Below are 26,766 nucleotides of genomic sequence, written 5' to 3'. Positions count from 1 at the left end.
CTCTTTTTTGGTTCCATATGAACTTTAAAGTAGTTTTTTCCAATTTTGTGAAGAAAGCCATTGGTAGCTTGATGGGGATGGCATTGAATCTATAAATTACTTTGGGCAGTATGGCCATTTTTATGATATTAATTCTTCCCATCCATGAGCATGGAATGTTCTTCCATTTGTTTGTGTCCTCTTTTATTTTGTTGAGCAGTGGTTTGTAGTTCTCCTTGAAGAGGTCCTTCACATCCCTTGTAAGTTGGATTCCTAGGTATTTTATTCTCTTTGAAGCAGTTGTGAATGGGAATTCACTCATGATTTGGCTCTCTGTCTATTATTGGTGTATAGGAATGCTTGTGATTTTTGCACATTGATTTTGTATCCTGAGACTTTGCTGAAGCTGCTTATCAGCTTAAGGAGATTTTGGGCTGAGACGATGGGGTTTTCTAAATATGCAATCATGTCATCTGCAAACAGGGACAATTTGATTTCCTCTTTTCCTAATTGAATACCTTTTATTTCTTTCTCCTGCTTGATTGCCCTGGCCAGAACTTCCAATACTATGTTGAATAGGAGTGGTGTGAGAGGGCATCCCTGTCTTGTGCCAGTTTTCAAAGGGAATGCTTCCAGTTTTTGCCCATTCAGTATGATATTGACTCTGGGTCTGTCATAAATAGCTCTTATTATTTTGAGATACGTCCCATCGACACCTAGTTTATTGAGAGTTTTGAGCATGAAGGGCTGTTGAATTTTGTCGAAAGCCTTTTCTGCATCTATTGAGATAATCATGTGGTTTTTGTCTTTGGTTCTGTTTATATGATGGATTACGTTTATTGATTTGCATATGTCGAACCAGCCTTGCATCCCAGGGATGAAGCCAACATGATCGTGGCGGATAAGCTTTTTGATGTGCTGCTGGATTCGGTTTGCCAGTATTTTATTGAGTATTTTTGCATTGATGTTCATCAGGGATATTGGTCTGAAATTCTGTTTTTTTGTTGTGTCTCTGCCTGGCCTTGGTATCAGGATGATGCTGGCCTCATAAAATGATTTAGGGAGGATTCCCTCTTTTTCTATTGATTGGAATAGTTTCAGAAGGAATGGTACCAGCTCCTCCTTGTACCTCTGGTAGAATTCGGCTGTGAATCCCTCTGGTCCTGGACTTTTTTTGGTTGGTAGGCTATTAATTATTGCCTCAATTTCAGAGCCTGTTATTGGTCTATTCAGGGATTCAACTTCTTCCTGGTTTAGTCTTGGGAGAGAGTATGTGTCCAGGAATTTATCCATTTCTTCTAGATTTTCTAGTTTATTTGCACAGAGGTGTTTATAGTATTCTCTGATGGTAGTTTGTATCTCTGTGAGATTGGTGGTGATATCCCCTTTATCATTTTTATTGTGTCTATTTGATTCTTCTCTCTTTTCTTCTTTATTAGTCTTGCTAGCAGTCTATCAATTTTGTTAATCTTTTTAACAAACCAGCTCCTGGTTTCACTGATTTTTTTTTAAGGGTTTTTTTGTGTCTCTATCTCCTTCAATTCTGCTCTGATCTTAGTTATTTCTTGTCTTCTGCTAGCTTTTGAATGTGTTTGCTCTTCCTTCTCTAGTTCTTTTAATTGTGATGTTAGGGTGTCGATTTTAGATCTTTCCTGCTTTCTCTTGTGGGCATTTAGTGCTATAAATTTCCCTCTACACACTGCTTTAAATGTGTCCCAGAGATTCTGGTATGTTGTGTCTTTGTTCTCACTGGTTTCAAAGAACATCTTTATTTCTGCCTTCATTTTGTTATGTACCCAGTAGTCATTCAGGAGCAGGCTGTTCAGTTTCCATGTAGTTGTGCGGTTTTGAGTGAGTTTCTTAATCCTGAGTTCTAATTTGATTGAACTGTGGTCTGAGGGACAGTTTGTTATAGTTTCTGTTCTTTTACATTTGCTGAGGAGTGCTTTACTTCCAAGTATGTGGTCAATTTTGGAATAAGTGCGACGTGGTGCTGAGAAGAATGTGTATTCTGTTGATTTGGGGTGGAGAGTTCTGTAGATGTCTATTAGGTCTGCTTGGTGCAGAGCTGAGTTCAAGTCCTGGATATCCTTGTTAACCTTCTGTCTCATTGATCTGTCTAATGTTGACAGTGGGGTGTTAAACCCTCCCATTATTATTGTGTGGGAGTCTAAGTCTCTTTGTAGGTCACTCAGGACTTGCTTTATGAATCTGGGTGCTCCTGTATTGGGCGCATATATATTTAGGACAGTTAGCTCTTCTTGTTGAATTGATCCCTTTACCATTATGTAATGGCCTTCTTTGTCTCTTTTGATCTTTGTTGGTTAAAAGTCTGTTTTATCAGAGACTAGGATTGCAATCCCTGCTTTTTTTGGTTTTCCATTTGCTTGGTAGATCTTCCTCCATCCCTTTATTTTCAGCCTATGTGTGTCTCTGCAAGTGAGATGGGTCTCCTGAATACAGCACACTGATGGGTCTTGACTGTTTATCCAATTTGCCAGTCTGTGTCTTTTAATTGGAACATTTAGCCCATCTACATTTAAGGTTAATATTGTTATGTGTGAATTTGATCCTGTCATTATGATGTTAGCTGGTTATTTTGCTCATTAGTTGATGCAGTTTCTTCCTAGCATCGATGGTCTTTACAATTTGGCATGTTTTTTCAGTGGCTGCTACTGGTTGTCCTTTCCATGTTTAGTGCTTCCTTCGTGAGCTCTTGTAAGGCAGGCCTGGTGGTGACAAAATCTCTCAGCATTTGCTTGTCTGTAAAGGATTTTATTTCTCCTTCACTTATGAAGCTTAGTTTGGCTGGATATGAAATTCTGGGTTGAAAATTCTTTTCTTTAAGAATGTTGAATATTGGCCCCCACTCTCTTCTGGCTTGTAGAGTTTCTGCCAAGAGATCCACTGTTAATGTGGTGGGCTTCCCTTTGTGGGTAACGCGACCTTTCTCTCTGGCTGCCCTTAACATTTTTCCCGTCATTTCAACTTTGGTGAATCTGACAGTTATGTGTCTTGGAGTTGCTCTTCTCGAGGAGTATCATTGTGGCGTTCTCTATATTTCCTGAATTTGAATGTTGGTCTGCCTTGCTAGGTTGGGGAAGTTCTCCTGGATAATATCCTGAAGAGTGTTTTCTAACTTCATTCCATTCTCCCTGTCACTTTCAGGTACACCAATCAGACGTAGATTTGGTCTTTTCACATAGTCTCATATTTCTTGGAGGCTTTGTTCTTTTCTTTTTACTCTTTTTTCTCTAAACTTCTCTTCTTGCTTCACTTCATTGATTTGATCTTCAATCACTGATACCCTTTCTTCCACTTGATCGAATCGTCTACTGAAGCTTGTGCATGCATCACGTAGTTCTCGTGCCATGGTTTCCAGCTCATTTCAGGTCATTTAAGGTCTTCTCTATGCTGTTTATCCTAGTTAGCCATTCATCTAATCTTTTTTCAAGGTTTTCAGCTTCTTTGCAATGGGTTCAAACATCCTCCTTTAGCTCAGAGAAGTTTGTTATTACTGATCTTCTGAGGCCTACTTCTGTCAACTCGTCAAAGTCCTTCTCTGTCCAGCTTTGTTGTACTGCTGGTGAGGAGCTGTGTTCCTTTGGGGTAGAAGAGGCGCTCTGATTTTTGGAATTTTCAGCTTTTCTGCTCTGTTTTCTCCCCATCTTTGTGGTTTTATCTACCTTTGGTCTTTCATGATGGTGACCTAGAGATGGGGTTTTGGTGTGGATGTCCTTTATGTTTGTTAGTTTTCCTTCTAACAGTCAGGACCCTTAGCTGTAGCTCTGTTGGAGTTTGCTGGAGGTCCGCTCCAGACCCTGTTTGCTTGGGTATCACCAGCGGAGGCTGCAGAACAGCAAATATTGCAGAACAGCAAATGTTGCTGCTTGATCCTTCCTCTGGAAGCTTCGTCTCAGAGGGGCAACCAGCTGTAAGAGGTGTCAGTTGGCCCCTACTGGGGGATGTCTCCCAGTTAGGCTACTCGAGGGTCAGGGACCCACTTGAGGAGACAGTCTGTCCATTCTCAGATCTCAAACTCCTTGCTGGGATAACCACTACTCTCTTCAAAGCTGTCAAACAGGGACATTTAAGTCTGCAGAAGTTTCTGCTGCCTTTTGTTCAGCTATGACCTGCCCCCAGAGGTGGAATCTACAGAGGCAGGCAGGCCTCCTTGAGCTGAGGTGGGTTCCACCCAGTTTGAACTTCCAGGCTGCTTTGTTTACCTACTCAAGCCTCAGCAATGTCAGACGCCCCTCCCCTGGCCTTGCTGCTGCCTTGCAGTCTGGTCTTGGACCACTGTGCTAGCAATGAGCAAGGTTCCGTGGGCGTGGGACCCTCCGAGCCAGGCGTGGGATACAATGTCCTGTTGTGCCATTTGCTAAGACTGTTGGAAAAGCGCAGTATTAGGGTAGGAGTGTCCCGATTTTCCTGGTACCATCTGTCACAGCTTCCCTTGGCTAGGAAAGGGAATTCCCTGACCCCTTGCACTTCCCAGGTGAGGCGATGCCCCGCCCTGTTTCAGCTCACACTCTGTGGCCTGCACCCACTGTCCAACAAGCCCCAGTGAGATGAACCTGGTGCCTCAGTTGGAAATGTAGAAATCACCCGTCTTCTGTGTCACTCATGCTGGGAGCTATAGACTGGAGCTGTTCCTATTCAGCCATCTTGGAACCCTCCTTATTTAGAGTTTTTATCATGAGTGAGTACATGATTTGACACATGATTTTCTGTGCCTATTGAGATGACCATGCAATTTTTGTCCTTTTTTCTAATGTGTATTAGTTGATGTTGAAATACAAAACCAACTCTGCACTTACGCATAAATTCCACAAAATCACAGTGCAGAATTTTTTTTTTATGTAGCCAAATTTAATTTGCTAATATTAAGAATTTATATGTCTATTTACTTCAGGAAAATTTGTCAGTGCTATGTTTTTTGTTATGATTTGGCTTTAGAATCAAGATTACACTCTACTTCTGGATTGAGTAGGATTTTATAAAATCCTTCTCTATTTTTAAAGCATTATGAGAAGCATTAGTTATTATTTCTTCTTTTAATATGTGATCTAATTCACCCATGAAATCATCTGGACCTTGGCATTTTTTAGTAGGAAGAGTTTTAATTAGTAATTGACTTTATTTGTTATAGGTCTGTTTAGAATTGCTATTTCTTCTTGAGTCAGTTTTATAATTTTTATTTTTCTAGGATTTTAAAAATTTCAACTAATTGTCTAATAGTGTTATCCCACATTGCATTCCTGATTTTGGTAATTTGCATCTTTTGTTTTCTCTTTAAGGCTTGCTAAGGGTTTTCAATTTTTTAATCTTTAATTATGTCACCTGTACTTATTTTGTTTTTTTAATTTTATTCCATTATTTTCAGCTTTATTAAAGTATAATTGACATTTTAAAATTGTCTATATTCAAGGTGTACAATATGATGTTTTGATATATGTATACCTTGTGAAATGTTGACCACAATCAAGCCAATTAACATATTTATTACCTCACATAGTTACCCTTGTATGTGTGTGTGTGCATGTTTGTATGGGTGTGTGTGTTTGGAGGATACCTAAGAGGTGCCCTTTGGCAAATTTCAAGTATACAATATATTATTAATACCTATAATCATCATGCTGTACATTAAGCCTCTAACACTTACACATCTTATAACTGTAAGTTTCTATCCTTTGACTCACATTTCCCTATTTCCCCCACATCCCCTCAAACCCTGATAATCACCCTTCTGTTCTGTTTCTATGAGTTTGACTTTGTTAGAGTTCACACAAAAGTGAGGTCGTGCAGCATTTTTCTTACTGTGTCTGACTTATTTCACTTGGCATAATATCCTCCATATTTATCCATGCTGTTGCAAATGACAGGTTGTTTTTCTTTTTTAAGGCTGAATATTATATATCTATCACACTTTTTAACCTCTTCGTACATCAATGAACACTTGTTTCCATATCTTGGCTATTATGAATAATGCTTCAATGGACACGGGAGTGAAGATATCTCTTTGAGATCATGGCTTTCTTTCCATTGAATACATATCCAGAAGTGGGAATGCTGAATAATATGGTGGTTTTATTTTCAATTTTTTGAAGAACTTTTATACTATTCTTCATAATGGGTGTACAAATTTATACTCCTACCAACAATGTAAAGGATTCCCTTTTCTCCACATTCTCACCAACACTTGTTTAGTTTGGCTATTGATCGTTCTTTGTTTTGTAAATACTTAAGGAAGCTTAGGTTATTGATTTGAGAAATGAATATGCTCTGTATGATATGAATATTTTAAAAATTATTAAAGCTTATTTTGCCTCCCAGCCTACAGTTCTTCACACAGAAAATTCTATATGTGCTTGAAAAGAATATGCAGTCTGCTATTGTGGAGAGTATTATATAAATGTCATTTCCGATTCATGGTGTTTTTCAAAAGATTTCTATTTCCTTGTGTATTTTTTTCAATTGTTTTATCAATTATTGAGTTTGGGATATTAAAATCTTCAACTATTATTGGTAAATTGCTTATCTCACTCTTTAATTTTATCAGTTTTGGTTCATGTATTTTAGGGATCTAGTGTTCTTTATATATGCATTTATGATTGTTATATGATATTAGTATAGCCACTCCATCTCTCACGTATTTTTGTGGGGTATATAATTTTCGACCTTCTTACTTTCAACTATTTACTTCTTTGAATCTATGGTATGTCTTTTGTATACAGAATATAGTTATAACTTGCTTTTCTATTCTACATAACAATGTGCCTTTTATGATGCATGCTTAGTCCATTCACTTTGTGATTATTGATATGGTTGAAATTTCACCTGTCATTTTGCTATTTGTTTTCTGTTAGTCTTGTGTCTTTTTTTGTTCCACTGCTTTTTCATTGCATTACATTTGTTTAAATGTTTTTGGTGAATGATTTCAATTCATCTTTTTATTTTTTTACCATTTTATTAGTGATTGTTCTATAAATTACAATATGCACATTACTATATAATTTACTTCAGAATAATATTAACTTAATTCCAGTAAAATTCAAAAGTTTTGTTTTAATAAATGTTTAATTCCTCCCCCTTGTTGTGCTATTATTATAATATATATACATACATATACAGACACACACATATATAATATATATAATTTACTCGACAATAGAGTATTATAATTATTTTTTCATCCAATTCAAGCCTGTTAAGGAAATTTAGGGAAAATTAACTAAAACGTGTATAGAGTCCTTCACATTTACCCATATATTGAGTATGTCCAGTACTCTTCATTTCTTCCTATAGATTCCAGTTACCATCTGGTTTTATTTTTCAGCCAGAACTCTGTGTTAAATCCTCACCTAGTCTGCTGGTGGACACATTACCCCAAAGAGGACCAGAACCTCAGGGTAGTGGAGTTGCTGGCCCTCCCTATTTCCTTGCCACCAAAATTGCCGTGCTAACTGACAGAGCTCCAAATCACGGAAGCTGCCTCACGAGTACAGGAACAAAGCTGTGGGGTTTCCTTATCTGACCACTGTTGATAGAGCTGGAGGCAGTGGAATGAAGCAGCCTTGCCAAAATGCTAGGCAACTGGCTGTTATTTTCCAAAGTTCAGTCGTTTCAATAAACAAGCTTATATCTCTAATGGATTTCCAGGGTGTCAAAATGGATCTTATTGACAGCTTGCCAGCTTTATACATGCTTTGTAGGGGAGAGGATGTGTTAGCCTCCTCACTCCATCACACTGGAAATGAATGTCTGTTTCTATTTATTGCTTTTTAAAAGTCTGTGGGATTAAGGGTTTTGTTGCATTTATCTTCCTTTTTTAGCTTGAAAGTTATATTTTATTAAAAAATTTAACATAATATTTTATAACATATGTATTTGGAATTTTTGTAATAAATGTTTAGGGTTAGCCTCCTCACTCCATCACACTGGAAATGAATGTCTGTTTCTATTTATTGCTTTTTAAAAGTCTGTGGGATTAAGGTTTTTGTTGCATTTATCTTCCTTTTTTAGCTTGAAAGTTATATTTTATTTAAAATTTTAACATAATATTTTATAACATATGTATTTGGAATTTTTGTAATAAATGTTTAGGGTTAACTTGTATCTATATCATTATCCTGAAAACAAAACCTAGCAAGTTTTTTTATTTTACTTTTCTTTAGATCCCAATTTTCGTGGTCTTTTTGTCCAGAATTTCAGTTCCAATCTTTCTGGGCATTTGGGCAGGGAAGAAAATATGACTATGGTGTGTGTCCAGTCCTTCTTGTTAAAATTATAAATAATATTTGGATATTACATGTGAGGAGAAGCTAATTCTCAGGTTTTTATTTTGGGAAATTGATTAATGGTGGCACCAACAACTGACTTAGGGAACAAACGAGTGTCTTATTGGTTTTGCTATTGACATAAATTCCTCTTCACTGTTTCCTAACTGATGACTCTGAAAGAGGCATTAAGATGTGTCTGTTAAGATCTGCTTTGGATTATTTGAATTTAAATTGCCTGGAACATCCAAGGTAAGATGAACCTAGAAGGATCTGGGAATATATATTAGTAATTCATCTGTTTGTAGACTCGAGTTGATGTCATGAGAGTAGATAAGACCACTTAGGAAAATAAAGAGGGCCAAGGAAAAATATCTCAAAAATATAAACATACACTTAGATAGAAGAAATAAGTTATAATGTTCAGTAGCCAAGTAGGGTGACTATAGTTAACAACAATGTATTGTATATTTCAAAATAGCTAGTAGACAGAACTTGAAATGTTCCAACATATAAAAATTATAATTACTCAAGGCGATGGATGTCCTAAATACCCTGACTTTATCATTTCACATTCTATGCATGTAACAAAATACCACATGCACCCCTTTAAATATGTGCAATTATTACATTTCAATAAAATAAAAATTTTAAATACCCATGTATAAATCATAGGGACACAGCAAAGTTAAGTAAAAGGCTAAATTCTGAAAGGGAGAATTTTTAAAAAAGTAAAAAATAGATCCATAGTAGCCAAAGCTCATTAAGAAATAAATCAAGCTTAGAAAAAATGAGTGCCCCTTAATTTAGAAATAAAGGAGTAATTGGGGACTTAATAAGAACAGTTAAAGTGCACCAAAATGTAAGTATCTTAAGGCAGTCTAGAAGTCAGACTGTCTGGGGTTGGGAAGAGAAAAAAATATGGATAAATGGACTGTTTCCTAAAGTGTTTGTCATAAAGGGAGGGAAAAAATAGGATAACACTACAGGGAGAGGCAAGCTAAAAAAACATGTGAAAACAATCTAGGAAAAGAAACAGAACCACAGAGCTATGAGGACAGCTATAGAAAAACCTCAAAGGCAAGGAATGAATGCTGCATATACTATTAGGATGGGTGCGTGCACAGGGAGGAAATGTGTATATGTGTACGTGTATGTGAGTGCATGAGTCAGGGAAGGGAAGATGCAGGCTATTTTGGAACGTTTCATGCAAATTTGGCACGCGATTAAGTAAACCTTTCTAATCATTTTTCAGGTTCCAGAGTTCAACGTGGAATCCTGAACTATGTCAACATTACCAACTCAGATAGCCCCCAATAGCAGCACTTCAATGGCCCCCACCTTCTTGCTGGTGGGCATGCCAGGCCTATCAGGTGCACCCTCCTGGTGGACATTGCCCCTCATTGCTGTCTACCTTCTCTCTGCACTGGGAAATGGCACCATCCTCTGGATCATTGCCCTGCAGCCCGCCCTGCACCGCCCAATGCACTTCTTCCTCTTCTTGCTTAGTGTGTCTGATATTGGATTGGTCACTGCCCTGATGCCCACACTGCTGGGCATCGCCCTTGCTGGTGCTCACACTGTCCCTGCCTCAGCCTGCCTTCTACAGATGGTTTTTATCCATGTCTTTTCTGTCATGGAGTCCTCTGTCTTGCTCGCCATGTCCATTGATCGGGCACTGGCCATCTGCCGACCTCTCCACTACCCAGCGCTCCTCACCAATGGTGTAATTAGCAAAATCAGCCTGGCCATTTCTTTTCGATGCCTGGGTCTCCATCTGCCCCTGCCATTCCTGCTGGCCTACATGCCCTACTGCCTCCCACAGGTCCTAACCCATTCTTATTGCTTGCATCCAGATGTGGCTCGTTTGGCCTGCCCAGAAGCTTGGGGTGCAGCCTACAGCCTATTTGTGGTTCTTTCAGCCATGGGTTTGGACCCCCTGCTTATTTTCTTCTCCTATGGCCTGATTGGCAAGGTGTTGCAAGGTGTGGAGTCCAGAGAGGATCGCTGGAAGGCTGGTCAAACCTGTGCTGCCCACCTCTCTGCAGTGCTCCTCTTCTATATCCCTATGATCCTCCTGGCACTGATTAACCATCCTGAGCTGCCAATCACTCAGCATACCCATACTCTTCTATCCTATGTCCATTTCCTTCTTCCTCCATTGATAAACCCTATTCTCTATAGTGTCAAGATGAAGGAGATTAGAAAGAGAATACTCAACAGGTTGCAGCCCAGGAAGGTGGGTGGTGCTCAGTGAGTAGGATGTCCCTCCGTGTTTGGTGGTACAGGGCTCCTGATACTAAAGTTTCTGTGAGAACTCAGCTCACCAAGCATGAAATGATCATTCACGTACACATAAGTGCATATATGTGCATGTAGCTTCCTGTCCCTGGAAGTATGCCTGTGTATATTGATGCAAACTTACAAGCCCCAAAGAATGAACATGATCCACCCACTGGTACATTACATATCAATGACATAGGAAGGGCCAGAGTCCAGATCTTGTCACAACTATCCAAGTGTGTGCCTGTTGTTATCTTATTGTTGTTAGTCCTGTCACTATATCTATACCTTAATACTGGATAAAGCTAGAAGAGTTAATCATCTACATAGCAAAGGAAAAATAAGACAGAAGCATTCTTCTCAACTAGATAGAAGATCTTCCATTTGTATTGTACCTCCTTAAGAAGTAAGAATTCTGACCAATCCTTAGGAATTAGATACATGAGGAAAATGCAAGTAAGTCTCTCATTTAGATTCTTCACACCAAGAGATAGGTTATTTAACTCTGATCAGGCCAGGAAAAAAAGAGGGAATATAATTTTTTTAATTCTTCATTTAGTTTTCAAAATGTTAGTATATTTTTGAATACATATGTATATTGAATGTCCTCAACACAAAGAAATGAGAAATGTTTGAGATTATAAATATGCTAATCACCCTGATCTGATCACTATACATGGTATGCACCAAAACATCACTATGACTATGCATAATTATTGTCAGTTTAAAATAAAATTTAATTTAATTTTTTAAATTTTTGCATATTTCAGAAAAAATAGAACAAATAAGAATAATCTTAAATTACATCCCCCAAACTTAACTATAATTATCTGTTTAGTGAACACTTATAATGTTTTATGTAAATGGAATCTTACAAGTGGCATTTGGAATTATCGGTCTCAATTCTTTACTTCCTAGTAGCAGCAGTATACATTCACATCCACATCAGGAGGGACAAAGTGGACGGATTGTATTTACATTCACTCTCACTTTAGACACATAATTTTCTCTGGCCATTGTGGTCCTCATGACTTGTTTTGGTCAATAGGATGTTAGTGGATGTGATAAAAGCAAGAGCTTCAGTGTGATTTTGCTGCAGGGTTTGATTTCTTGTACTGGGGTAGTGCTAACCTAGTAGGTAATTCCCCTTGAATCTGGTTTCCAGAAGGAGGTACATGGTGCAAACCTGAGCCAAATTCAGAGCCTGGAGCCAGTCCCTGGTTCCCAGAGAACTGAAGCAAAGCCAGCAAGTCAAAGCAGCCTAGATGAAGAGGGTCTCTGACAACCTACTGACCAGTGAGAATTATAACAAATGCTGTAGTTGTAAGCATCTGATATTTTGTAGTTGGTATACAGCAAAAGTTAACTAACAGAGTAATTACAGTCTTATTCTGTGAACATGGTTAATCTATTTTTTTGATGCCAATACAATTAATCACATGTGTGTTATGAGGAGCACTATTGTTGTAGCACAATAATTGACTAACTTTAATAAATATATATTTTTTATTTTTGTGGGTACACAGTAGGTTTATATATTTATGGGGTACATGAGATGTTTTGATACAGGCATGCAATGTGAAATAATCACATCATGAAGAATGGGGTATCTATCCCCTCAAGCAGTTATCCTCTGTGTTATAAACAATCCAATTACATTCCTTTAGATATCTTAAAACGTGTGATTAAGTTATTATTGACTAGAGTCACTCTATTGCACTATCAAATAGTAGGTCTTATTCATTCTTTCTATTATTTTTTATACCCATTAACCATGCTCACCTCTCCCCCAGGTTCCCACTACCCTTCCCAGCCTCTGGTAAACATCCTATTCTCTTTGTCCATGAGTACAATTGTTTTCATTTTTAGATCCCACAAATAAGTGAGAACATGCAATGTTTGTTTTTCTGTGCCTGGCATATGTCACTTAATATAATGACCTTTAATTTCATCCATACTGTTGCAAATGATAGGATCTCATTCATTTTATGGCTGAATAGTACTCCATTGTGTATATATAGCACATTTTCTTTATCTATTTGTCTGTTGATGAATGCTTAGGTTGCTTCCAAATCATAGCTATTGTGAACCATGCTGCAGCAAACATGGGAGTGCAGATACGTCTTTAATATACTGATTTCCTTTCTTTTGGGTATATAACAGCAGTGGGATAGCTGGATCATAGGGAAGCTCTAATTTTAGTTTATTGAGGAACCTCTAAACCATTCTCCAAAGTAGTTGTACTTACTTACATTCCCACCTTGGCAGCATTGTCTGTCTTTTGGATATCAGCCATTTTAACTGGAGTGAGATGAGATCTCATGATAGCTTTGATTTGAGTTTCTCTGATGATCAAGGATGTGGAGAACTTTTACAGATGCCTGTTTGTCATTGTTTTTCTTCATTTGAGAAATGTTTATGTACCTCTTTTGCCCATTATTGATTAGATTATTGGTTTTTTTCCATGTGGAGTTGTAGAGCTCCTTATATATTCTAGTTATTAATCCTTTGTCAGATGGGTAGTTTGCAAATATTTCCTTCCATTCTGTGGGTTGTCTCTTCACTTTGTGGATTGTTTTATTTGCTATGCAGAAGCTTTTTAACTTAATGTGATCCTATTTGTCCATTTTTGCTTAGGTTGCCTGTGCTTGTGGGATATTGCTCAAGAAATTTTTACCCAGATCAATGTCCTGGAGAATTTCCCCAATGTTTTTTTGTAGTAGTTTCCCCAAAGTTTTCTGTAGTAGTTTTCACTTAAATAATTTGGCTATTCTGGTTATTTTATGGTTCCATACAAATTAAGATTGTTTTTTCTATTTCTGTGAAGAATGTCATTGATATTTTCATTGGAATTGCATTAAATCTATAGAGTGCTTTGGACGGTATGGACATTTTAACAATATTTATTCTTTCAGTCCATGAACTTAGAATACTTTTCAATTTCTTGGTACCCTCTTCAACTTCTTTCATCCGTGTTTTATAGTTTTCATTGTAGATATCTTTTATTTATTTGGTTCAATTAATTTTTAGGTATTTAATTTTACATGTGGCTATTGTAAATGAGATTACTTTTTAATTTCTTTTTCTTTTTAATTTTTGATCACTGTTGGCTTATAGAAATGCTACTGATTTTTGTATGCTAATTTTGTATCCTGCAAATTTACTGAATTTGTTCCTCAGTTCTAATAATTGTTTTGGTAAAGTCTCTAGGTTTTTCCAAATATAAGATCGTATCTTCTGAAAATAAGAATAATCTGAATTTTTCCATTCCAATTTGGATGACTTTATTTCCTTTTCTTAATACTCTAGCTAGGACTTCCAATACTGTGTTGAATAATAGTGGTGACAGTGAACATCCTTCTAGTGTTTTAGATCTTAGAGTAAAGGCTTTCAGTTTTTCCTCAGTGTGATACTAGTTGTGGGTCTGTCATATCTGGCTTTTACTATTTTGAGATATGTTCCTTCTATACCCATTTTAAGGGATTTTATTATGAAGGGGTGTTGAATTTTGTCACATGCTTTTTCAGCATTAATTGAAATGATCATATGGTTTTTATCCTTCATTCTGTTGATAGAATGTATCCCATTGATTGATTTTCATATGTTGAACCATTCTTGTGTCCCAGGGATACAGCCCACTTGCTCATGATGAATTATCTTTCTAATGTTTTTTTGAATTCAGCTTGCTAGTATTTTGTTGAGGATTTTTGCATCAACATTTATCAGAGATACTGGCCTGTAGTTTTCTTTTTTTGATGAGTCTTTGGTTTTAGTATCATGGTAATACTGACCTCATAGAATGAGTGTGGAAGTATTCCTTCCTCTTCCATATTTTGGAATAGTTTGAGTAGGATTGGTATTAATTATTTAATTGGTTGGTGGAATTCAGCAGTGAATCCATCGTATCCCAGGCTTTTCTTTATGGGAAGGCTTTTCATTGTGGCTTTGATCTTGTTACTTGTTATTTGTCTGTTTATATTTTGGATTTCTTCGTGGTTCAATCTTGGTAGGGTGTATGCATCTAGGAACTTCTCCATTACTTCTAGATTTTCTAATTTATTGGCATATACTTGCTCGTGATAGCCATTATCCTTTAAATTTCTTCAGTATCAGTTGTAATGTTTCCTTTTTCATTTCAAATTTTATTTATTTGGATCATCTCTTATTCTTTCTTAGTCTGGCTAAAAGTTGGTCAATTTTGGGGAAATTTAACTTTTCAAAAAACCTTTTTGTTTTATTGATCATTTGTGTTGTTTTCTTTGTTTCAATTTTATTTATTTCTGCTCTGATCTTTATTATTTATTTTCTTCTTATAACGGTGTACACCCATATGCATGAACAAAGAGCTTATATCTGAAACTGAAATTTATATTTAAAAGGGAAGCAGAACATATGAGTTTGGGAAATTTGCAGCCTGACCATGTGGTAGGCAATAAAAACCTATTTTTCTGGGGATAAATTAGAGCCAGCTGCATAAATTTGAATAAATAAAGAGGAGCCAAACGTTAATAGCCACCACAATGGGGAAAATGTCTCCCAGGTATTTCAGACCTTCACTGCAGCCCCTCCCACTACAGGCCTGGAGGCCAAGGAGGGAGAAGTGGTTTTGTGAGCCAGGCCCAGGGCCCCATTGATCTATGCATCCTTGAGACATGGCACCCTGCGTTCCAGCCACTCCAGCTCCAGCCATTGCTAAAAGGAGCCAAGGTACAGCTCGGACTATTCCTTCAGAGGGTGCAGGTCCCAAGCCATAGCAGCTTCCATGTGGTATTGGGCCTGTGGGTGTACAGAAGGCAAGAGTTTAGGTTTGGGAGCCTCTACCTAGATTGCAGAGGATGTATGGAAAAGCCTGGATGTCCAGGCAGAAGTCTGCTGCAGGGGTGGTGCTCTCATGGAGAACTTCTACTAAGGCAGTGGAGTGAGGAAATGTAGGGTTGGAGCCCCCACACAGAGTTCCCACTGGGGCACTGCCTAATGGATCTGTGAGAAGAGAGCCACCATTATCCATACTCCAGAATGGCAGATCCACCGATAGCTTGCACCATGCACCTGGAAAAGCTGCAAGCACTCAAAGCCAGCCTGTGAAAGCAACTGCAGGGGCTGTATCCTGAATAGCCACAGGGGCACAGGTGCTGAAGGCCTTGAGAGGCCACGCCTTGCATCAGCATGCCCTGGGTGAGAGACATGGGGTCAGAGGAGATTATTTTGAGGATTTAAGATTTAATGACTGCCCTGCTGGGTTTCGGACTTGCATGGGAACTGTAGCCCCTTGGTTTTGGCCAATTTTTTCCATTAAAAATGGGAGCATTTACCCAATGCCTGTACCCCCATTTTCTCTTGTAAGTAAATAACTTGTTTTTCATTTTACAAGTTCACCAGTGTGAGAAACTTGCCTTGTCTCAGGTAAGACTTTGGACTTGGAGATTTGAGTTAATGCTGGAATGATTTAAGACTTTGGGGGACTATAGGGAAAGCAGGATTGTGTTTTGAAATGTGAGAAGGCCTTGAGATTTTGGAGGGTCAAGGGGCAGAATGATATGTTTTGGCTCTGTGTCCCCACCCAAATCTCATGTTGAATTGTAATTCCCAACGTGGAGAGAGGGACCTGATGGGAGATGATTAAATCATGCTGTTCTCATGATAGTGAGTAACTTCTCATGTTATCTGATGATTTAAAAGTGTGTGGCACTTCCCTCTTCACTCTGTCTCTCTCCCGTCACCATGTGAAGACGTGATTGCTTCCTCTTCACCTTCCACCATGATTGTAAGTTTCTTGAGGCCTCCACAGCCTTGCCTCCTGTACAGTCTGTGGAACTGTGAGACAATGAAACCTCTTTAATTTATAAACTACCCAGTTTCAGGTAATTCTTTATAGCAATGTAAGCATGAACTAATATACCATGAGGCTTTCAAATACTATTTTATAACCCATTATTTTAACCTAATAACAACTTAACACTCTTTGCCTAAACAAGCTAAAAGAAAACCAATAAAAACTGCACCTTAACTTTGTTTCTGCTGCATTTTAATATTTTTTTCTGTTTATACCTTATTGTGCTGTCTATGTCTTGAAAAGTTGATGTAGCTATTATTTTTTATTTATTTATTTTTAGACCTGCTACTTGGCATAAGAGTAGTTTACACACCACAGTTATAGTGTTATAATATTGTGTTTTCCTAGGTACTTACTATTGCCAATGACTTTTGTATTACTACCTTAAAGTGATTATTTATTGCTCATTAATGTCCTGTTCTTTCAGATTAAAGAACTCCCTTTGAGACAGAGTTTTGCTCTTGTTGCCCAGGCTGCAGTGCAGTGGCGTGATCTTGGCTCACCACAACCTCTGCCACTGAGGTTCAAGTGATTCTCCTGCCTCAGCCTCCGGAGTAGCTGGGATTACAGGCACGCACAAACTCACATGGCTAATTTTTGTATTTTTAGTAGAGACGGGGTTTCTCCATGTTGGTCAGACTGGTCTCGAACTCCTGACCTCAGGTGATCTGCCTGCTTCGGCCTCCCAAAGTGCTGGGATTACAGATGTGAGCCGCCATGCTCGGGCTAGCATTTCTTATAGAACAGGTCTGGTGTTGAGGAAATTTCTCAACTTTGTTTGTCTGGGAAAGTCTTTATTTCTTCTTCATCTTTTAAAGATATTTTCACTGGATATATTATTCTTGGGTAAAAGAACTCTTCCTTGAGAGCACTTTAATTATCTTATGTTACTCTCTCCTGGCCTGTAAGTTTCAAGTGAAAAGTCTGCTGTCAGATATATTGGTTTCTTTTCTCTTGCAGCTTTTAGGATCCTTTCATTATATTTGATTTTGGGGAATTTGATTATTAAATGCTTTGAGGTGTTATTTTGGGGGTTAAATTGATTCGGTATTCTCTAACCTTCTTGTACTTTTATATTAACAACTTTCTCTAGGTTTGGGATGTTCTCTGTTATTATCTCTTTAAATAAATTTTCTAACTCTTATCTCTTTCTCCATCTCCTCTTTAAGACCAATAACTCTTAGAATTGCCCTTTGAGGCTATTTTCTGGATCCTGTAAGTACGCTTTGTTGTTTTTTATTCTTTTTTGTTTTGTCTCCTCTGGCTGTGTATTTTCAAATAGCCTGTCTTCAGGCTCACTAATTCTTTGTTCTGCTTCATTAATTCTGTGATTAAAGGACTCTAATGCATTCTTCAGTATGCCAATCGCATTTTTCAGCCCCAGAATTTCTGCTTGATTCTTTGTAAATATGTCAATATCACTGTTAATTTTTTCTGATGTAGTTCTGAGTTCCTTCTCTGTGTTATCTTGAATTTCTTTGAGTTTCCTCAACACAGGTATTTTGAATTCTATCTGAAAGGTCACATATCTCTGTTTCTCCAGGATTGGTCCCTGGTGCCTTATTTAGTTTATTTGGTGAGGTCATGTTTTCCTGTACAATGTTATTCACTGTTTGGTCATTCAAGAATTGTTTATTTATTGTAGTCTTCACTGTCTGGGCTTCTTTGTACCCATCCTTCTTGGGATGGCTTTATAGATATTTCAAGGGACTTGGGTGTTGTGATCTAAGTTGTATCTACTTTAGGGGTAACCCCAAGCCCAGTAATGCTGTGCTTCTTCTAGACTCATAGAGGTACCGCCTTGATGGTCTTAGACAAAATATGGAATATTCTCTGGATTACCAGGCAGAGACTCTCGTTCTCTTCCCTTACTTTATCCCAAATAAATGGAGTCTGTCTGTGTTCTGAGCCACATGAATCTAAGGGTGGGGTGACACAAGCACCCCTGTGGCCACCACCAGTATGTCTGTGCTGGGTCAGACCTGAAGCCAGCACACCACTGGATCTCACCCAAGGCCTGCTGTAACCACTTCCTGGCTGCTGTCTTTGTTTGCTTTAGGCCATGGGGCTCCACAATCTGTAGTTGGCAAAGCCAGCCAGGCCTGTGTCCTTTCCTTCAGGAAGGTGAGATCCCCTAGGCCCCAGGTGGGTCCAGAGATGCTGTCGGGGATTTAGGCACTAGGGTCAAAAGCCTTAGAAGTCTACCTGGTGTTCTATTATACTGCAGCTGAGCTGGCACTCACATCACAAGATACAGACCTTCCCACTCTCCCTCCACTTTTCAAAGGCAAAGGACCCTCATCCTGTAGCCACCTGCCACTACTGGCCATGAGGAGTACTGCCAGAAAACCACAGATGTTCCTGTAAGGCCCAAGGGCTCTTAAGTCAGCTTGTGGTGAATACTGCCTGGCCAGGAACTCACCCTTCAGGTCAGTGGGCTCCCCTCTGGCCCAGGGCAGTTCCAGAAATGCCATCCAAGAGTCAAATCCTGGAATGGGGGATCCCAAGAACCTGCTCTACACCCCTGTGGTTGTGCTGGTACCTACGGTGCAAGAGAAAGTCCTCTTACTCTTCCCTCAAGCAGAAGGAGTCTCTCCCCATAGCCAGCACAGCTGGTAATGTGCTGAATCTCACCTGAAGTCAGCAAGTCTCAGAGGCTAACCCAAGACTCTTGACGTAGTACCTGGGTATTGCTGCTTGTTGTCCGGGGTCCAAGGGCTCTTCAGTTAGCAGGTGATAAATGCTGCCAGGACTAGGTCCTTCCCTTCAAGGCAGCAGGTTCCCTTCTGACCCAGGATGTGTCTAGAAATGCCATCTGGTAGCTAGGTTCTGGAACAAAGGCCTCAGGACTCTGACTGGCGCTCTATTCTGCTGCAGCTGAGCTGGCCTGCAAGATGCAAGACAAGCTCCTCCTACTTTTCTCTCTCCTCTCCTCAAGCAGAAGGAAGGGGTCTCTTTTGGTGCCATGAGCTATGCAGCCTGGGGTTAGGGAAGGCATGATACCAGCACTCCCTTAGCAGCCTCAGTGTGTCTCGGTAGGTTGCATCCCTCTCTAGTCCACTGTCTCTGGACCAGTTCAGCAACAGGACTCGTTTGAGAGTTGCAGTCCTTGTGGCCTAGACTGCCTTTCAAGTTTACTTAAAGACCCAGATCACTTTGGTCTGTGGTGGTGAGGTTTACAGGAAGTCCAGTTTTGACTGCTGGGATCAGTGATTCCCCTCTGATTATGGCTGTTTTAAATGCTCCCTCCATGGGTGAGCATCAGCTGAGTTTGGTCCAGTTTTGTTGTTGTTGTTATTTGTTATTTTCCTGCTCTAACAGGACAGCACTGAGTTTAATGCATCAGAATTTCATTTCTGACACCAGTGTGTCTGCTCTCCCCTCTCCAAGCACCCAGAGACATTCTCTGCACCACACTGCCATTGCCATTGCCTGATGACAGGGGCAGCGCGGCATCGGCGATTCAAGGTAGGTTTTTAAAATATTTTCAGTGCCTTTTTATTATAAGTTATTATAAGGACTCATCCGACTTTTTTGTTTTTAAAAAAGTGTTTCTTATGTACAGGTGTTAAATCAGTGTCCTTGTGGTGGGGGGACAATTGGTGGAGCCTTCTATTCCTACATCTTGTTCTGTCCCTGCCCTCTGAATCTCGATAACTTTCTATATGCCTTTCTGCATCTTGTTTTCTTATAATAGAAATTCCTCATTCCTCCAAGTGCACTAGTATGGATTTAATTCATTCAAATGACGACATAATCATAATGTTCCATGGTGTGGATCAAGGTAATTTATTCAACTGTTTTCTACGAGTGAGTATTAGAGTTGTCTTCAGTTTTATGCCACTCCAAGCAATGCTCTAATAAATGCTCTTCTACAATTCCCCATGTACACTTAGGCTATTACTTCTGAAAGACTGATCTCCAGGTCACGATTGCTGGCTTTAAAGGATTTACATGTTAAAAGTTTACATGTTTGTTGGTAGATTCTTTTCTCAAAAAATTACAGCAATTCATATCATACTTTTTTTTTTTTTTTTTTTTTTTTTTTTTTTTTTTTTTTTTAGACAGAGTCTTGCCCTGTGCCCTGGCTGGAGCACAATGGCGAGATCTCGGCTCACTGCAAGTTCTGCCTCCTGGGTTCATGCCATTCTCCTGCCTCAGCCTCCCGAGTAGCTGGGACTACGGGCACCCACCACCACGCCCGGCTAATTTTTTTGTATTTTTAGTAGAGACAGGGTTTCACTGTGTTAGCCAGGATGGTCTTGATCTCCTGACCTCGTGATCCGCCTGCCTCAGCCTCCCAAAGTGCTGAGATTACAGGTGTGAGTCACCGTGCCTGGCCAGCAAATCATACTTCTATACTATGTCAGAGAATGCCTTTTTCTTGCATATACAACAAAATTGACTGCTCTAATATTTTAAAATTTTTATGAATTTAAATTAATAACATTTTAATTAATTTTACTTTATGTAAAATTAATAGTAATCAATGTTACTTTAAACACATGGCTGCCTCCATGTGTTTATAACTCTGTTAAATTAGGGTAGCAGAAAACTGTCTCTCTTTCACAGCAGAGCCTCAATTGTTCTTTCCTTGTTCCTGCTGTCTCCTGCACACTGGCCAAATCCACACCAATTCTGTCAGAACCTTCAAGTATATAATGGTTTTTATTACTTTAATTACATAAAGTAAAATTATTTTACTTTAAAATAAGTTAGAATTATCTAATTTTACTTAATTTTAGATTTTGCTAATAGTAAAAATGAATGTCTTTCACATATTATTGATTATTTTTGTTTCCTCTCCCATGAATAGCCTATTCAAATAATCTTCATCCATTTTTCTATTGGGTTGTTTATATTTTAAATATAAGTGGGTGGGTCACACCTATAATCCCAACACTTCAGAAAGCTGAGGCAAGAGAATTGCTTAAGTACAGGAGTTTGAGACCAGGCTGGACAACATAAGAATATACCATCTCTTCAAAAAATTTAAAAAATAAATAGGCATTCATGGTGGCAGGTGTTTATAGTCCCAGCTACTAAGGACTCTGAAGTGAGAGGTTCACTTGAGCCAAGGAGGAGGAGGCTGCAGTGAGCTATGGTTTCACCACTGCAACCCCGCATGGACAACAGAACAAGACCTTGTCTCAAAAATAAATAAATGTTAGGTTGGTGCAAACATAATTGCAGTTTTTGCCATTAAAAATAATGACAAAATAGCAATTACATTTGCACCAACCTAATAAATAAATAAATATTTCCAAAACATTTTTGTTTTATGCCTTTCCCAATCTGGTATTTGTCTTTGATCTTGTTTGCCAATCAACTCTCAAGCAAATACAGGTAGTATTATTTAAACAAACCTAAATTTAGTTTCCTTTATACTTTTTGTGTTTCATATATTGCTCTAAAAAAGAGGTCTTTGGCCAGGCGCGGTGGCTCACGCCCGTAATCCCAGCACTTTGGGAGGCTGAGGTCAGGAGTTCGGGACCAGCCTGGCCAGTATGGTGAAACCACGTCTCTACCAAAAATACAAAAAAAAAAAAAATTAGCTGGGCATGGTGGTGCACACCTGTAGTCCCAGCTACTCGGGAGGCTGAGGCAGGAAAATCGCTTGAACCTGGGAGGCAGAAGTTGCAGTGGGCAGAGATTGCACCACTGCATTCCAGCCTGGGTGACAGAGCAAGACTCCATCTCAAAAAAAAAAAAAAAAAAAAAAAAAAGATGTCTTTGATTCCAAGCATTCAATGCACTATCTCTTATACTATTTTCTAAAATTGTTACAATAGTTTTTACTTCTAAGTTTTTCTGTTAGAAGTTTAAATTTATATTAATCAAGGTGGATATTTACTAATGGCAGAATCACCTGTTAAATACATTCTTTTTCTCACTGAAATAAAATACTATGCATATCATATTATAAATTATATGTATATATAATATTGTGTATATATAATATACAATGTATATCTGTGTGTGTATATAAGTATACACAGTGTACTAACACTCTTAGTTCACTTACTGTATACCAACCAAAAAATCTCAGGTGCTCACCACCACAGCATTTATTATAATGCTTGCTGGTCAGTAGGTTGTGTAGGTGTATGCATTTTGCTTTGCAGATCTTTTTAGGAATGACAACATATCACTTATTTATTATAGCTTTATAGTGTGATTTACTTAATATGAGATGTAAAGCAAACCCAATCTCACAAAACAAACGAAAGCTTTGGATTTCTAGGAGGTGTTAAATTATATTTATAGATTAAATGTAAGAAAATAAACATTAACGGTAAGTTTTCACATGCAAGAGTGTATAAGTGTTTCATTAACAGTTTTTTCTGTTTTCCAATAAAATTATTTGCTTAAGTTAAATATATTTATATATGTATTTTATAAATGTATGTCTTTTGTTTCTATTATAAATAAAGCAGTTCTTATCTTACAGTAAAACATCTGTATCATAATGTGGGAACATAGAGATATTCAATAAATGATTTGGAATTAATAAAAAAACAGTAACTATATTTAAACTTTGTATGCATGATTAATCAGAATAAAGAGCTTTATAGCTGGAAGTTTCTTTAATCTTCCCCCAGCTCCACCTCATTTTATAGACAGAAAGCTGCAACTTTGGCCTGTGGAAAGCACCTTTGAATGGTCCTGTATAAGTCAGTGGTAGGTATTGAACTGAAACCCAACTCCTCTGGCTGCCTCCATGTGTTTATTACTCTGCTAAATCAGGGTAGTAGAAAACTGTCTCTCTTTCACAGCAGAGCCTCAATTGCTCTCTCCTTTTTCCCACTCTCTCCTGTACACTGGCCAAATCCATACCAATTCTGTCAAAACCTTCAACCACATAGTGGTTGTTATTAATACCCCCGGCCAGTCTAGGATCCTATCCTCCCTCTGCAAATCACGTTAACTTGACTGATAAGTTAAGGGGAAAAAAAAATTTCTTAACAGCACACAGAGGGGAGAAAGTATTAGCAAGCACATTTACAAAGTGTAACAGTGGTACACAGAAGGTGGATAAAACTGCAGATCGGGAAAAGCCTTGCAAAAGCCAGATCTCTGGGTTGGTCTACTTGATAAACAAAGCTCTCCAGGATAGCAACCAGAATGTTACTCGTGTGTGTATGTGTGTGTGTGTGTGTGTGTGTGTGTGTGTCAGAAAGAGAGAGGAAGAGAGAGAGAGGGGGGAGGGAGATATTGAGAATTCATAACAGGGATCATAAGTTCAAATGTTTAGAGAAGCCAAGGAAATAACATAAATTTATAAAACAAGTACATATTCACACTGTGAGTAGTGGGATCTTTATTAACCAAGAGGCTTAAGACTTCTCAGGGGTTGCCTACTGAATGTTTGAATGTTTCCATGGGGGAATATAGGTCTACTACTTCCATGTCTTTCCATATTTAAGATAATTTATGTCTATATTTTATATATTTTGTGTGTATAATTTTATATATATATAGACAAAATAATCCAAACACTGCCATGTCCAAACAAAACCTGTCTGAAGACCATATTGAGATCTTAAAGCTTTTAAACACATTAACTTATTTAATCCCTGGAATGTATGGAGAAATAATTATGTTCTTAATTTAAAAGTACATATGAAATATATCATAATACATAGGAAGTAATTTTCTCAATACCACACAGCCAGGAAATGGCAGAGCTGAAACCAGAGGACCTGTTCCTGACCGAGTCCCTAGTTTTTCCATTCATTTGATCTCCCTGGAAGGACTGAGCTATCACAGTAAGGACTTTAGAGGACACGTAACCCTGATGGGGTTTATTTACTCCTTCTTCTGTGGGTTAGCTTCTAAATTCCTAAATTCTCAGCCTAGAGTTACACTATATCTTATTCTTTAGGAGTGATCCTGGACCCTGATGTAGTAAATAAGGATTGCACAGTCCTAGTGACTCCTAAAGTTTCCTTGCTGACCCTTTCTCATTAGGAGATCATTGGAGCCCTTTGGTCTGGTTCCATTCACAATGCCATAAAGTGAGAGGTGAGACTAGGGAGGCTCAGGTATTAAAGTTATTTGGGTGTCTACTTGGCCACAGTGGTGCAGATTCTGTGCTATCATTACTCATGAACAGTAATATGGAGCGCCCCTCAATTCAGAAGGCAGCATCCAAGGGAAGAATCCACATCTCACGAACCTCCTTATGTATCTGCAATGTTAACTTCTTACTATGAGGCATGCAGAGGAGAGAGTGCTGTGTTGAGCCTAGATGATGACTGCTCTGATGCACCCTAGAATTCTCACCCCAGAAAAACGTGAGGGGCCTGGCTTCAGGATGCTACCTCTTTTTCTTTAGACTATTTTTTTTAGTTCAAACTGATATATTAATAGATCTACCAAGCACATACCATCGACAGAGTACTTTGTTGTCAGGAGAGTGAAAGTTGAATAATTCGTAACTCTTGTCCTGTGGAAATTTACAGTATAGTTAGTGAGAGAGATATATGCATCATGGTGGAAATACATATGGGCCTGCAACCATTGAGCACCAAAGTTTCAGTCCCTTATCTTTACTATAAACACTGTCAAGTGCCATGGCCCTTCTATAACTTCCTCTCCAAATTGACTTCCACCAAAATTTGCTTCACCAAATGACATAGTCTCTATGTTTCCCTTTCACATCACCCAAGAAAAGTGTTCCTTAAACACTAACCTACATGCCAGTCACCTGAGATCTTGCTAAAATGCACATTTCAGCTCAACAGGCTTGCAGCAGGACATGAGATTCTGCAGCAATTTTAACAACTTTCTAGGTAATGCTGTTGCTGTCAGTCAGCAGACCACACTTTGAATAGCAAAGTAAAGAACATACTTAGACAAACTCAGACACTTTATAAAGAGTTTAATGTAAATCACAATGAAAATAAAATAAGAGGAGGTAAATATCAAGATGTTAAATAGTACCAGAATTTTGTAGGACTCTCCCAGCCACAGTTAAGGGCTACTTTTCCTAACTTCTCATTAGAAGATTTGCAAGAGTTTTGCTCTTCCTTCTCGTGTCTGAGAATTGAATTTATCAATCACCCAAAGAACAACAAAATGATTTGTAACATTTTCATGAAATATAAGCCTCTTCTTTATCAAAAGTAGAAAAGCTGTGGTATATTAGATGCTCCTTAGGGATTAGTTGATTGAACAATTAATTAATTAATGCTAATTTAAAAACTTTGAAGTAAATAGAACCATTTCCTATTTGGATGAAACACTGTCCTTCTCCTAAGAAAATGTATTGTGAAAAAAATAGAATTTCCACCTTTGCCCCATCATTTAGGCTTCAGAGCCAATTTTTCCAGGACCTTTACTCTAATCTGCCGAGTTTTTACACAATACACAATGGGATTCATCAAGGGTGGTACCAGCAAGAATGCATCTGCTATCAGAATCATAGCTAAAGGGGATTTATGCTTAGCAAAGCGACGCATGGTAGCCAAGGTGATGATGGGCACATAGAAGACGAGTACAGCACAGATATGAGACACACAGGTGTCAAGAGCTTCGAGGCACTCCCCATGGGATGCAATACCCAACACAGTCTTCAGGATGAACACATATAGGAAATAGCAATAAAAACACTGTCTGACATCATGCAGAGTGCAACGAACAAACCATAGTAAAAGTTAACCCTGTTGTCAGAGCAGGCCAGCTTCATTACATCCTGGTGAAGGCAGTAGGAGTGGGATAAAAGGTGTTTATTACAGTATCTGAGTCTCTTTAAAGTAAAAGGGGTAGCACTAGGAGAATGCTTTTAATGGCAAAAGCCAGTCCAATTTGCAAAACCCTGAAGCTGGTGAGAATAGAGCTATATCTTAGGGGGTTGCAAATGGCTACTAAGTGATCAAAGGACATGATTAGGAGAACTGAAGACTCCATGTCTGTGAATCCATGGATGAAGAATTCCTGGGCAATGCATGTATCAGCAGAAATCCCCATGTTGTTGAACAAGAAGATTCTCAGCATCGTGGGTAGGGAGGAGAAAGACAGGCCCAGGTCGGACAGGGCCAGCATGGAGAGGAAATAGTACATGGGCTCTTGCAGGGAATGCTCTGTTCTGATAACAAATAGGATGGTGCAGTTGCCCAGGATGGCCATGAGGTACATAAGGCAGATGGGGATAGAGATCCAAATGTGTGCATGCTCAAGTCCTGGTATCCCAATCAATAGGAATGTGGAGACTTCAACTTCTGAGGTATTGAGCAGAAACATCACAGATAGGTCACTAGCTTATCCACTCGTGGGTCTAAAGAAAGATGCACAATAGATAAAAGTTTTTAATTGTACTTGCTGAACATATTTAAGTTCAGTTGTTGGTTAAATTAAATATAGCTCAATCTTAGGTGTCAAGAAATAGCA

General features: G+C 38.5%; 2 protein-coding genes and 1 pseudogene across 3 annotated transcripts in view; 1 reads left to right on the top strand and 2 right to left on the bottom strand.

Annotated features, from left to right (window-relative positions):
* MMP26 (matrix metallopeptidase 26) overlaps positions 1 to 26,766 on the bottom strand; it is a 287,646-nt gene that overhangs the window by 133,678 nt on the left and 127,202 nt on the right. The window lies entirely within an intron of this gene.
* Positions 9,544 to 10,515, top strand: OR51S1 (olfactory receptor family 51 subfamily S member 1). The gene has a single exon (NM_001004758.1). The coding sequence runs from the start codon at positions 9,544 to 9,546 to the stop codon at positions 10,513 to 10,515; it is 972 nt and encodes a 323-aa protein (NP_001004758.1).
* OR51A8P (olfactory receptor family 51 subfamily A member 8 pseudogene) lies at positions 25,683 to 26,619 on the bottom strand (annotated as a pseudogene).

This window comes from Homo sapiens, chromosome 11 (assembly GCF_000001405.40).
Source record: "Homo sapiens chromosome 11, GRCh38.p14 Primary Assembly".
NCBI lineage: Eukaryota > Metazoa > Chordata > Mammalia > Primates > Hominidae > Homo > Homo sapiens.
Note: the sequence above shows the minus strand (reverse complement) of the source record. Positions and strands in the feature narration are given on the sequence as shown.

Bases quoted from the DNA above. Each gene is read 5' to 3' on its own strand.
- OR51S1 (NM_001004758.1), top strand. From the start codon at position 9,544: ATGTCAACATTACCAACTCAGATAGCCCCCAATAGCAGCACTTCAATG.